The sequence below is a fragment of the Homo sapiens genome, chromosome 12, assembly GCF_000001405.40.
Source record: "Homo sapiens chromosome 12, GRCh38.p14 Primary Assembly".
NCBI classification, from domain to species: Eukaryota; Metazoa; Chordata; class Mammalia; order Primates; family Hominidae; genus Homo; species Homo sapiens.
Genome location: NC_000012.12, coordinates 113,301,684 through 113,314,643, shown reverse-complemented (window position 1 = coordinate 113,314,643; position 12,960 = coordinate 113,301,684). Strand labels below are relative to the sequence as shown.

At 50.0% G+C, this 12,960-nt stretch overlaps 1 protein-coding gene across 4 annotated transcripts in view, besides 2 other annotated features; it reads left to right on the top strand.

Annotated features, from left to right (window-relative positions):
- The window catches only part of SLC8B1 (solute carrier family 8 member B1), a 36,339-nt gene that overhangs the window by 20,466 nt on the left and 2,913 nt on the right, over window positions 1-12,960 (top strand). For all 4 annotated transcript variants that reach the window (NR_152403.2, NM_024959.4, NM_001330466.2 and 1 more), the window contains 4 exons: window positions 4,289-4,410; window positions 6,800-6,953; window positions 8,069-8,149; window positions 10,259-10,323. Coding sequence is in view for 3 of the 4 variants with exons in the window: in NM_024959.4 (NP_079235.2) it covers window positions 4,289-4,410; window positions 6,800-6,953; window positions 8,069-8,149; window positions 10,259-10,323 (422 nt within the window). In the remaining variant the exon portion in view is untranslated. The remainder of the gene's footprint in view (window positions 1-4,288; window positions 4,411-6,799; window positions 6,954-8,068; window positions 8,150-10,258; window positions 10,324-12,960) is intronic.
- Window positions 6,346-7,545: an enhancer, noted in NCBI's record as "P300/CBP strongly-dependent group 1 enhancer chr12:113744904-113746103 (GRCh37/hg19 assembly coordinates)". NCBI's record gives its function as "activates an origin of replication core promoter dependent on BRD2, BRD4, P300/CBP, MED14 and CDK7 cofactors, with strong dependence on P300/CBP, by STARR-seq in HCT116 cells {active_cell/tissue: HCT116}" and the evidence as "EXISTENCE:reporter gene assay evidence [ECO:0000049][PMID:35650434]".
- Window positions 10,980-11,713: an enhancer, noted in NCBI's record as "NANOG hESC enhancer chr12:113740736-113741469 (GRCh37/hg19 assembly coordinates)". NCBI's record gives its function as "activates a minimal SCP1, AML or CMV promoter by ChIP-STARR-seq in naive H9 embryonic stem cells {active_cell/tissue: H9 hESC(naive)}" and the evidence as "EXISTENCE:reporter gene assay evidence [ECO:0000049][PMID:30033119]".

Here is a 12,960-nt window from a genome sequence, read left to right as displayed (position 1 = left end):
GTCCCCTCCATTGCCTGTTGGGTGCCCCTTCCCTCGTTTATGTGACCTGGCTGGTCCCCACTGGCATTTGAATTTTCCCCATCTGCCCCAGAATGTCCTTTTCTTTCTTGTCCTGCTCTGGCTGAGGAAACGCCCAGGCTTGTCCAACGTCTTCTAACTTCTGCTACCCAGATTTCTTCCTGTTGTCTAACTTTAGTATCTCATGCTGTCTGTTTCCTATCATCTAGGCTCCTCCCCCTCAGCCCAGGGGCTTCGCCTGGAGGTGGGGGTAGGACTCTGGTGCAGATGCATGGCTGGGCATGGTGTTGTGTGCTGTAACAGTGTCGGGATGAAACTCCATCGGGATGAAACAGCCTCCTTGCCACATTCCCTGTGAATTTCTCCCCCGGTTTGTGGGAGGATGCAGACATGGAGGGAAGGAGATAGGAGGAGAGATGATTGATAGAGAGTGACTCAGAGCTGAAAAGGGCCACCCACTAGGGCCGTCTGGTTCATCACAGCCCTCCATTCTCCATCCATTCTCTACGGAGCGGGGAAGCCTTGCCTTTCAGGCCAGGGCAAATCCAGGGACTTGCTTTCACAAGCGTTGTGGCATCTTTATTTATTTATTTATTTATTTTTATTTTATTTTATTTTGAGACGTAGTCTGACTGTCACCCAGACCCGAGTACAGTGGCATGATCTCAGCTCACTGCAACCTCTGCCTCCAGGGCTCAAGTGATTCTCCTGCCTCAGCCTCCCGAGTAGCTGGGATTACAGGCACCTGCCACCATGCTTGGCTAATTTTTGTATTTGTTGTGGCTTCTTAAAAGAGTGATTCCCACACATCAGTCATTCACAGACCATCTTCTCAATTTTGCTCTTACTCTATACTATTACATTTGATATTTTTCTTTGTTTTTCTTGAGACAGACTCTCACTCTGTCACCCACGCTGGAGTGCAGTGGCACGATCTCGGCTCACTGCAACCTCCACCTCTAGGGTAAGCAATTCTCCTGCCTCAGCCTTCTGAGTAGTTGGGACTACAGGCACCCGCCACCATGCCCGGCCAATTTTTATATTTTTAGTAGAGGCGGGGTTTCACTATGTCGGCCAGGCTGGTCTCAAACTCTTGACCTCAGGTGATCCACCCACCTCGGCTCCCCCAGAGTGCTGAGATTATAAGCATGAGCCACTGCGCCTGGCCACATTTGATATTTTTCTTAAATCAGCTCGTTGTATTGTCCAGGCTGGTCCTGAACTTCTGGGCTCCATTGAGTAGCTGGGACTACAGGCATGCACTACTGTACCCAGCTTCAGACTTTTTTTTTTTTTTTAAGGCAAATTTGTTGAAAAGGAAACCGTGTCACCTGCATCAATAGGAAACTGTAGTAGAATTGCATCATTTCCAATAAATTTAAGGTAACTGCAAAAATAAACACAATAAAAGTAAACCACCGACCAGCGATGGTGGCTCACGCCTGTAATCCCAGCACTTTGGGACGCTGAGGCAGTAGGATCACTTGAGGTCAGGAGTTCGAGATCAGCCTGGCCAACACAATGAAACCTCGTCTCTATTAAAAATACAAAAACTAGCCAGGTATGGTGATGGGTGTCTGTAATCCCAGGTACTTGGGAGGGTAAGACAGGAGAATCACTTGAACCCAGGAGGCAGAGGCTGCAGTGAGCCGAGATTGCACCCCTGCACTCCAGCCTGGGCGACAGAGTGAGACTCTGTCTCAAAATAGAAAAGAAAAAAAAAAGTAAACCACCTTACTCGGTCCTCCTAAGTCAAGCCCATGAGCTGGAAGCCTGTACTAGGGAGAAGAGCAGGTATTTGAGATGTTCAAGTCCTATTAGCACCAAATGGAAACTTTCTCCTTGATACAATGATAGAACTGAAGAAGGAATCCCTTTCCTGAGTCACGGTTCTGCAGCATGTAGTATCTTCACCACATGGCGTTAACACCACCTAGTGGTAGCAGGTCCACCCTGGGGAAAGACTGGTTCTGGCTAAAGCACTCTTGACCCCCGTCTGGGCTGAGCACTGTCTAGAGAAAACCCCTGGACTGGCTCCCAGCCTGAAGGGGTGCTGTGACTCAAGGTGAGCCTCCCGAGCAGCAGCCTCCAGCCTCCCCCATCTCTAGGCGTCCCCCAAGAGCCATCTTTATAAAGTGCTGCTTTTCATATGTTGTGGTCACTCCCCCACTCAAAGACCTCCATGGCTCCCCAGTACTTCTTGGGAAAAGTCCATGGCTGTCATTGCTCAGTGGTGTGATCTTGGCCCACTGTACTCGCTGCCTCCCAGGTTCAAATGATTCTCCTGCCTCAGTCTCCCAAGTAGCTGGGATTACAGGTGCGTGCCACCACACCTGGCTAATTTTTGTATTTTTAGTACTGATGAGGTTTCACCATGTTGGCCAGGCTGGTCTTGAACTCCTGACCTCAGGCGATCCTCCTGCCTCAGCCTCCCAAAGTGCTGGGATTATAGGTGTGAGCCACCGCACCCAGCCAAGGCCTCTGAGACTCTGAGCCAACTGCCTCCTACAGCCTTTTCTGTGCTATTCCTGATCTGCTTGATTCCATCTTACCCAACTCCCCTCTTCCCACAGAGCCCTTGCACCCCTCTCTGCTTAACACTCAGCTCAGATCCTCAGTGTCTTCACGCCCCAGCCACCTCCTAAAATTTCTCTAGCACAGGAGTGGCAAATACATGGAAAGGACTTCCAGCCCAGGTGTCTGGATCCAAAGCTGGCACTGTAGGTAAAAACCCCATGCTGGCAAAATTATCTCAGGAGCTGGGCACAGTGGCACACACCTACAGTCCCAACTACTCAGGAAGCTGAGGTGGGAGGATGGCTTGAGCCCAGGAGTTTGAGGCTGCAGTGAGCTGTGATTGTGTCAGTGCACTCCAGCCTGGTTGATACATCGAGACCCTGTCTAAAAAAAAAAAAAAAAAAAAAAAAATCCCCCTTGACAATCACTCATAACATATTGTGTACACAATTTTGTGTATTCAGCCCACTCACATAATTTTTTTTTTTGAGACAAGATCTCACTCTGTTGCCCAGGCTGGAGTACAGTGATGCAATTTAGGTTCACTGCAACCGCCACCTCCCGGGACTCAAGTGATCCTCCCACTTCAGCCTCCCAAGTAGCTGGGACGACAGGTGCCCACCACCACGCCCAGCTAATTTGTTTTTGTTTTTTTTTTTGAGATGGAGTCTTGCTCTGTCACCTAAGCTGGAGTGCAGTGGTGCGATCTCAGCTCACTGCAACCTCCACCTCCTGAGTTCAAGTGATTCTCCTGCCTTAGCCTCCTGAGTAGCTGGGACTACAGGTGTGTGCCACCACCCCCGGCTAATTTTTATATTTTTAGTAGAGACGGGGTTTCGCCCCTTGGCCAGGTTTGTCCCGAACTCCAGACCTCAGGTGATCCACCCGCCTCAGCTTCCCCAAGTGCTGGGATTACAGGTGTGAGCCACCGTGCCCGGCCTAATTTTTGTATTTTTTGTAGAGATGGGGTTGCACCATGTTGCCCAGGCTGGTTTCGAACTCCTGGGCTCAAGCGATCTGCACGCTGTGGCCTCCCAAAGTGCCGGCATTATAGGCATGAGTCACCACACCCGGCCTCCTCACATAATTCTTAAGCCCCCTGTCATTTGGGAGCCATGAGCTAGACTAAAAAAAGAACAAAAGAAGGGTCTTGATGCAGGTATATGAACATTTGAACTATTCATCGTCTTTAAGACCAGTACCAACTCCTAGTGGTGAAAAGGGTGATGTGTGGAGAATTCTAGAGTGTTCTCACCTTAGGGTGTCTCCCTTTGGTGTTTAATATGAAGCCTCTGGAACCTTCATATTTGTTAATGGAGAGTGGACTTATTTGGGTACCTCTCAGTGAAGAGGCTGGGTTTGACTGTCAGGTTCATCTCATGGAGCGATGCCATCTACTGGTAATGCCTGGCTGGAGGGAGCTGCCTGGAAATGCAGTTGGATGGAAGTATTGTGCTTGATTAGTGATGTCTGCCATGAAGGTGGAAGAGGGTGGTGGTGTTAGTGGTTATAGCCATTCCTATCCTAGTTCCACAGCAACAGGCTGGAGAGAGTCTTTTTTGTGTGTCTCTCTTTTTCTTTCAAATGTGACTAACTTGAGGGCAGGGGCTGCATTTTAAATTTTTCTGCCCCCATGAAGTGTCTAGGACAGGGCTGGGCAGATAGGAAGTGTCTACCTGACATCCAAATAGTCCATTGTAAGTGGGTGTTGAGGTGCTGGGAAGGTATCAGCTCCCTTTCTCTCCCTTTGCAGATGGTGTCTATGAGATAGGCGGCCTCGTTCCCGTCTGGGTCGTGGTGGTGATCGCAGGCACAGCCTTGGCTTCAGTGACCTTTTTTGCCACATCTGACAGCCAGCCCCCCAGGCTTCACTGGGTAAGAAGCCCGGGTTCTCCGAGATGGGGGGGGAGGGATGCTGATGTCTCCCACACAGATGTCCTGTCTGCATCTCTGAGGCACTTTGACCAGTTTGATCAGGAGTCACACAAAGACAGGTAACCGAACTTTAAAGCTGCTTTTGAGAGTGTTTGTATCTATACAGGGTTTTTTTCTTTTTTTTTTTGGTAATAGCTTAATTTTGTTGAGATGTAATTCACATACCATACAATTTACCCATTTAAAGTATACAATTTAATGTTTTTTATTATAGTTACAGAGTTGTGGAATCATCACAATCAATTTTAGAGAATTTCATCACCCCAAAAAGAGACCTCATGCCCATAAGTCACTCCCCATTTCCCCACCCCCCACATAGCCCCTGGCAACCACGACTCTACTCCGCGTCTCTATGGGTTTGCCTATCATGGACATTTTATATAAATAGAATCCTACAATATGTGATTTCCTTTTTTTTGAGACAGGGTCTCCCTCTGCTGTCCAGGCTAGAGTGCAGTGGTACAGTCATAGCTCACTGCAGCCTCGACCTCCTGGGCTGAAGCCATCCTCCCACCTCAGCCCCCCAAGTAGATGGGACTACAGGCGCAAGCCACCACGCCCAGCTAATTTTTGTATGTTTTTTGTAAAGATGAGGTCTCACTATGTTGCCCAGACTACTCTCAAACTCCTGGCCTCAAGCAATCCTCCTGCCTCGGCTTCCCAAAGTGCCAGGATTCCAGGCATGAGGCACTGTGCCCAGCCTTGGGTTTCTAAAGACACTCCAGGGATAGAATGGGATGGCCTTTGTGGGTGTCTTTTTCCATTTTCCCTAGTCTAGGCACTCTAAAGAATATTTAGGGGTTTGTCCAGAGACTTTTTCCTTAAAAGTTTACTTAAATTAGCTGGGCGTGGTGGCGGGCACCTGTAATCTCAGCTACTCGGGAGGCTGAGGCTGGAGAATTGCTTGAACCCAGGAGGCAGAGGTTGCAGTGAGATGAGATCGCATCATGGCACTTCAGCCTGGGTGACAGAGACTCCGTTTCAAAAAAAAAAAAAAGTTTACTTAATATTTTCATTTTGGCTGGGCGTGGTGGCTCACGCCTGTAATCCCAACACTTTGAGAGGCCGAGACGGGTGGATCACCTGAGGTCAGGAGTTTGAGACCAGTCTGGCCAACATGTCGAAACCCTGTCTCTACTAAAAAATACAAAAATTAGCCAGGCATGGTGGCGGGCACCTGTAATCCCAGCTCCTTGGGTGGCTGAGGCAGGAGAATCGCTTGAACCCAGGAGGCAGAGGTTGCAGTGTGCTGAGATCGCGCCACTGCATTCCAGCCTGGGCAACAGAGTGAGACATCGTCCTAAAAAAAAAGTTTACTTAAAATTTTCATTGTTTAGTGCTTAATGATTTTTTAAAATTTTAGTTTTTACTTTTGGAAACTCAATGAATGTACCAACCGAAGGGTGTTGAATTTTCAGCAAATGGATCATTTAGGGAAGTTGCCTTTTACTACTTAGGGAAAATTGTCTTTCACTGTTTTTTCAAGTACCGACGTGTGCCACAACATGGATCACCCTTGAAAACATGATGCTGAGTGAGAGAAGACTGTAGCAGAGGATCACACACTGTGGCATTCCATTGATGTGAAATGTCCACGAGGCACATTCAGAGAGACAGAGAGCAGAGTAGTGGTCGAGTTGGGCTGGTGGGGTGGGGCTAGGGAGTGACCGCTAATGAGTACAGGGATACTTATTGGGATGATGGGTGGTATTTGGTTCATAGACTGGAAATCTGATGAAAGTGATAAGGAACCCTTTCCAGACAAAATAATATTTTTTTTTAGTATATGAAAGGGAGGTTTTTTTGTTTTTATTTTTTTTCTTTTTTCGAGACAGAGTCTCACTCAGTCGCCCAGGCTAGAGTACACTGGCATGATCTAGGCTCACTGCAACTTCTGCCTCCCGGGTTCAAGCGATTCTCCCACCTCAGCCTCTCGAGTAGCTGGGATTACAGGTGTGTGACACCAGCCTGACTAATTTTTGTATTTTTAGTAGAGACAAGGTTTCACCATGTTGGCCAAGTTGGTCTCGAACTCCTGACCTCAGGTGATCTGCCCGCCTCGGCCTCCCAAAGTGCTGCGATTACAGGCGGTGAGCCACCGTGCCCGGCCTGAAAGGGAGTTTATTAAGGAAAAAAGAAAATAATATTGAACTCACGTTTTATTGAGCACTAACTTTGCACAGGCACCAATGCATATAGTAACGTGTTTTATACTCATAATAAGCTCATGAGGTAGATACTGTTATCATCCCGTTTCACAGGTGAGGAACTGAGGCTGTGTTCCTGTTGGGGCTGGCCTTGGTCCCACAGCAAACCATTCCCTCCGCAGCTCTTTGCTTTCCTGGGCTTTCTGACCAGCGCCCTGTGGATCAACGCGGCCGCCACAGAGGTGGTGAACATCTTGCGGTCCCTGGGTGTGGTCTTCCGGCTGAGCAACACTGTGCTGGGGCTCACGCTGCTGGCCTGGGGGAACAGCATTGGAGGTGACTCAGGGCTGGGTGGGGTTGAGTGGGGGTGAGTGCGGCCACATCTTAGCTCTTTCCTCCCCCAGCCAGAGTCGCATCTGGGCAGGAGTGTCCAGGGTGTCTGCCCTCTGCACCTGTGCAGTGTCCCCTGTCACTGTGGAGTGGCCAGCATTGGGGTGAGATGGCCCTGACTGCAGTTGGACCAAGAAACTCTATAGAGGCCCCTGCCTCTTCCCCACCCTCTGATGCGGGGATGGTCGGTGGCTCCCAGAGTTCAGGCAGGACATGGAGCCCATTGCAGCCGGCCGTGCTTGATGTGTACACGGGTGTGTGACATGCAGGCATTCACACTTACATACATACACCCTTCCCTAGCTGTAGCAGCCAGGTGTGGTTGGCCAGGTTATGCACTGCTCCAGAGCATCCAGACAAGAGGATGAGGGAGCTGAAATCTAGCCCCTCCTTCCACTTACCTTTTTGAGCACCTTCTTCTTATTCATGTGGAGGTGCTGTGCATGTTACCAGCAGATGAGACTTTGAAAAATTGGTAGCCGTAGTTTTTTTTTTTTTTTTTTTTTTTTTTTTTTTTTTTTTTTTTGAGATGGAGGCTTGCTCTGTCGCCCAGGCTGGAGTGCAATGGTGTGATCTTGGCTCACTGCAACCTCTGCCTCCCAGGTTTAAGCAGTTCTCCTGCCTCAGCCTCCCGAGTAGCTGGGATTACAGGCGCCCACTACCATGCCCAGCTAATTTTTGTATTTTTAATAGAGACAAGGTTTCATCATGTTGGCCAGGCTGGTCTCGAACTCCTGACCTCAGGTGATCCATCTATCTTGGCCTCCCAAAGTGCTGGGATTACAGGTGTGAGCCACTGTGCCCAGCTGGTAGCCGCGTTTTTCACACCTGCAAAGTTGTTCCTGGTGTGAAAGAGTGGGGTAAAGGAATTAAGGAGGGAAGTGTGTCTTCCCAGATGCTGTGCCCCCTCACACAGCACCCCACCAGCTAGTGCCCAGGCACACTTGGGCATCCATCTGTGTTTGTTGCCTGAATGACCGTGGGTGAGAATGAAGGCGTGGATGACCAGGGAGGGTGGGGGAAGCGACTCACCACTGCAGGCCCCTCTTGTTCCTGTGCAGATGCCTTCTCGGATTTCACACTGGCTCGCCAGGGCTACCCACGGATGGCGTTCTCCGCCTGCTTTGGCGGCATCATCTTCAGTATCCTTTGTGGTCTGTTCTTGGCCTTAGCACTGGTGTCACAGCCGTGGGTGGGGTGTGCTCCATGCCCCACCCTGGGGATTGGTTCTCGGTGTAACACCTGGGGCAGGTAATGTGGCTGCCTGAGCCTCAGGCTCCAAGGCTTTAAAATAGGGATTTGGGGAGTGCTAACCTCCAAGTGGTGTTGTAAGGATCCAGTGAGGTGAATGAAATTCTTGGCCCCTGGTAAGGGCTCAGCAGACAGCAGCTATTATTGTTAGGACAGTGAGTGGTGTGATAAGCAGGTGCCCATAGGATGAGCTTATGTGTCCTATGGAAGACCCTCTCTCTCTTGCTCATAGCGACATGTCATGGTCTATGTTAGGGTTGGCAGACTTTTTCTAAAAGGGCCAGAGAATTCTTTTTTTTTTTTTTTTTTTTTTTTTTTTGCAGGGTGGGGACGGAGTCTGGCTCGGTTGCCCAGGCTGGAGTGCGGTGGCGTGATCTTGGCTCACTGCAATTTCTGCCTTCCGGGTTCAAGCAATTCTCCTGCCTCAGTCTTCTGAGTAGCTGGGACTACAGGCGCCCACGACCACGCCCAGCTAATTTTTGTATTTTTAGTAGAGACAGGGTTTCACTATGTTGGCCAGGCTGTTCTCAAACTCCTGACCTCAAGTGATCTGCCAGCCTCAGCCTCCAAGTGCTGGGATTACAGGCGTGAGCCACCACACCTGGCCCAAAGAATAAATATTTTAGACTTTGGGGGCCATGCAGGCGGTTTTGCAGCTACTCAACTCTGCTGCTATAGTGCAGAAACAGGCACAGACAGTGCATAAGTGAATGGCCATGGCTCTGTTCCAATAAAACTTTATTTATAAAAGCAGTTAGTGGGCCAAATTTGGCCGGAGGGCTGATGTTTGCCAACTTTTGGTCTATATAGAAAAGACGGATATAGCCAGCCTGGGGCTATGAAGAGAAAGAGCTTTGAAACCAGATGGTTGTGGGTTCCAGACAGTGCCTGGCGCACGGCAGGCATTCGGCCAGCAGTGGATACTGTTGGCTGCTAAAGAAAGAAAGATGATCACAAAGTGCCTGAAGGGCCGCTCTCTCCAGGCTCCACGATGACAGAGCCTCACCAGGGGCTGCAGTGTGAGCAGTTGGCCGGCAAAACAGGCTAACTGCGGAGACAGTGATGCCTGCCCTTTTAACTCCCAGGCTGAGCAAGGCCCTTGGTGGCCCTTTTGCGCCCACTGAGGCCTACTCCTGGCTTTCGGGCTGCAGCCTCGCCTGACCTCCCAGGTTGGCTGGGAAGGAGGGAGCCCTGAACGACCCCTAGAGATGGCCTCGGCCCACACACTATCACCAGTTCCCTCTAGGGACTGGGGGCAGTCCCTTCATCTCTCCTGGCCTCGGTTTCCCCACCTACTGAGTGCTTACATGCGCCAAGCATTCCTGGCACCCTAAGGTGTTCGATCCTTAGAGACTGACTGCAACACTTACTCAGCACCCATCTTCTTAAAGGCCTAAAAAGATAGGGTCTCCTCAGATATGGTGTTTGGGGGAGTTGGGCATACATCATAAAGAAAGCCAAGTAAATTCATTTTTTTTTGTAAGTCTGGGCACAGTGGTTCATACCTGTAATCTCAGCACTTTGGGAGCCTGAGGCACGAGAATCACTTGAGTCCAGTGATTTGAGATTTGCCTGGGCAACACAGCAAGACCCTGTCTCTACAGAAAAATTAAAAAATTAGCCAGGTGTGGTGGCATATGCCTGTGATCCCAGCTACTTGGGAGGTTGAGGTGGGAGAATCACAAAGCCTAGGAGGTCGAGGCTGCAGTGAGCCGTGTTCACACCACTGCACTTCTCTACCTCCAACCCCCACCAAATTTTTTTTTTGAGACGGGTCTCACTCTGTTGCCAAGGCTGGTCTCAAACTCCTGGCCTCTAGTGATCCTCCTGCCTTGGCCTCCCAAAGTGCTGGGATTACAGGCATGAGCCACTGCGCCTGGCCCAAGTTCATTCTTGCAGTGGCATCCCAAGCCCTGGGGATGAACACAGTAGGAGGAACGGGCTATGTGGTTGGGTTATGTGCAGGCCATTCCAGCAAAGCTTCCTGAGCTGGGCTGCAGACATCCTCGTGGGTGTGGGGCTGGGCTGCCTGCTCCAGATCTCCCGAAGCCACACAGAAGTGAAGGTGAGTATTCCTTGTAAGTTTACAAGTGTATATAACCAAGATGTAGCTTGATGGGGAAGGGGCAGGAAGGCCCTGGCTTTGGATCTGGGTCCCATCACTTAAGTCCCTGGCTGTATGACTTTGAGTGAGCTAGGACATCTTGGCCGGGTGTGGTAGCTCATGCCTGTAATCCCAGCACTTTGGGAGACTGAGGCAGAGGATCACTTGAGGTCAGGAGTTCGAGACCAGCCTGGCCAACGTGGTGAAACCCCATCTCTACTAAAAATACAAAAATTAGTCAGGTGTGGTGGTGCACACCTGTAATCTCAGCTACTTGGGAGGCTGAGGCAGGGGAATCACTTGAACCCAAGAGGTGGAGGTCACAGTGAGCCAAGATTGCGCCACTGCACTCCAGCCTGGGCGACAGAGTGAGACTTCATCTCAGAAAAAAAGGGAAAAAATGGAGTTAGGACATCTCTGGGCCTCAATTTCCTCCCCTATAAAATGAGATTGATGACACCAGCTGAGCTTCCTGGATAAGCACGCAGCGGAAGGGCCAGACTGAGCACCATATCCCAGCACTGCCCACAGGGGAGGTGACAGAGATGTGTGGGTGATTTGGGTAGGTAGCATGTGGCCAGATATTCCAGGTCCTCTAGAGAAGAAATCAAGATTCCTAAGTGAATTTTTTTCTATTCGAAAATCTGCCTCACATGCAAACAAAACCCTGTGCATATGAGGCAGATTGGACCCCTGAGCCGCTGGCAGTCCCATCCCTGCATCTCTATTCTGGAGGACTTGAGTCCAGAGACTCAGCAAGGAAGACGTAGGCTGGGGAGGAAGAGATGGCCTGGGGGTTGGTTTTAAGCCTCGCCATGGGAAAGCTCTTTGAGTGTTATGAAGCTGAATAAAGTCACCCGTTTCTCCCAGAGGCACGAGTTGTTGAATAGGCTCTCGGCAGAGCCTGTTAGCCGGGGGCAGGGTGTTTCTTTCACACTGGCCATGCCCACAAGCAAACAGCTACTTAGGGCTTGAAATTTTCTTTTCTGAAAGGTAAACACCCTCTGCAAACTTTGTTGTCCCTCTTTATGGGTTTAATAGGTTCCCTTTCATGATAGATTCTAGGGTAGTTCCAGGTAATGAGGCTTTAGGGTTGGCTCCTCAGGGGACCTATTTCCTCTTTTCTCCTGTGCGCGCGCGTGTGTGTGTGTGTGTGTGTGTGTGTGTCCACCGCCTTTGTGCTGAGTTTAGGAAGTGTGTGTGTGTGTGTACGTGTGTGTGTGTGTGTCTACCACCTTTGTGCTGAGTTTAGGAAATGTGTGTGTGTGTGTGCGCGTGTGTCTACCACCTTTGTGCTGAGTTTAGGAAACGCTCCTGCCGTTAAATGGCATGAGACATCAACATGGAAGGATGTCCATGGTGTACCGTTGGTTGAAAACCACAAGTCGCTTTGAAACACTTACCTATTGTACGGTCCCATCTCTGTTTTCAGAATTGATGTACATGTCTAGAGGTGTGTGTGTCCACAGGCGTGTGTAATATGGCATCCCATGGGGAGGAGGATAGGCATTGGTTAAGAGCTTGCACTTGGATTTGGGCTCTGTCACTTACTCTGTCAGTTTCTTCATCTGTGGGTTGGAGACGAGGAGGATGCAGGTGGCTGGGAAGACGAAACGCCACGGTGCCTAGAAACAGCCCACACGGTACCTCATGTCTTCACTGCGTGTTGGATATACCTGCTAAGTGTGGAAGGAAGAGAAGCGGGGAGGGGACATTTCAGTCCCTTTTACTCTTCTGTACTGCTTGAAAATATGTCAGCAACCATGTGTGACATGTATACCATAGATAGTGTTAGTTCCCTAGTGCTGCCATAACTGACCACAAACCAGGGGGCTGACAACAGCAGAAATTGAGTCTCTCCCAGTTCTGGAAGCCAAAAGCCTGCAATCAGGGCATCAGCCGGGCAGTGCCACCTCCAAGCTCCAGAGGAGGATCCTTCCTCACCTCTTCCAGCTGCTGTTGGCTCCTGACGTTCCTTGCCCAGTGGGCCCATCTCTGCAGTCTCTGCCTCTGTGTTCCCATGGCCATCTCTCTCTTCTTCTTACGGAGACATGAGTCATTGGATTTAGGGGCCACCCTAAGTCCAAGATGATTGTATCTTGAAACCCTTAGCTTATTATATTTGCAAAGACCCTATTTCAGGTAAGGCCACATGCTGAGCTTCCGGATGGGCGTGAATTTGTTGGGGGTGGGGCACTACTTATCCTACTACACATATAAAAACCTGCAGCTGAAATCTGCAGGCTCCTCCCCAGTTCTAGAGAACGGGAGTTGCTGTCAGCTCCTCCTCCCGCAGAGGAGCCTGTCTTGTGCCTGACACTTTGGCTCTCGCTCATTCATTTCTGCTGCTGCCACTCCTTTATCATTCATCCATCCCCTCCTTCACCCAGAAGGCGGCATCCTCCCAAGTTCAGAGTCAGGCAGAGGTGCCAGGCCCAGTGCTGCTGAGCACCTTGGACAAGTCAGTCAAGTCTAAGGGTCTTGGTTTCCTCATCTGTAAAATGGAGTCCATCCTAGTACCCACCATACAAGACTATTGTTAGATCAAAGACGACAGTGCCTGTTAGGCCCTTCGCACAATGCCTGGCATAGAGCAGG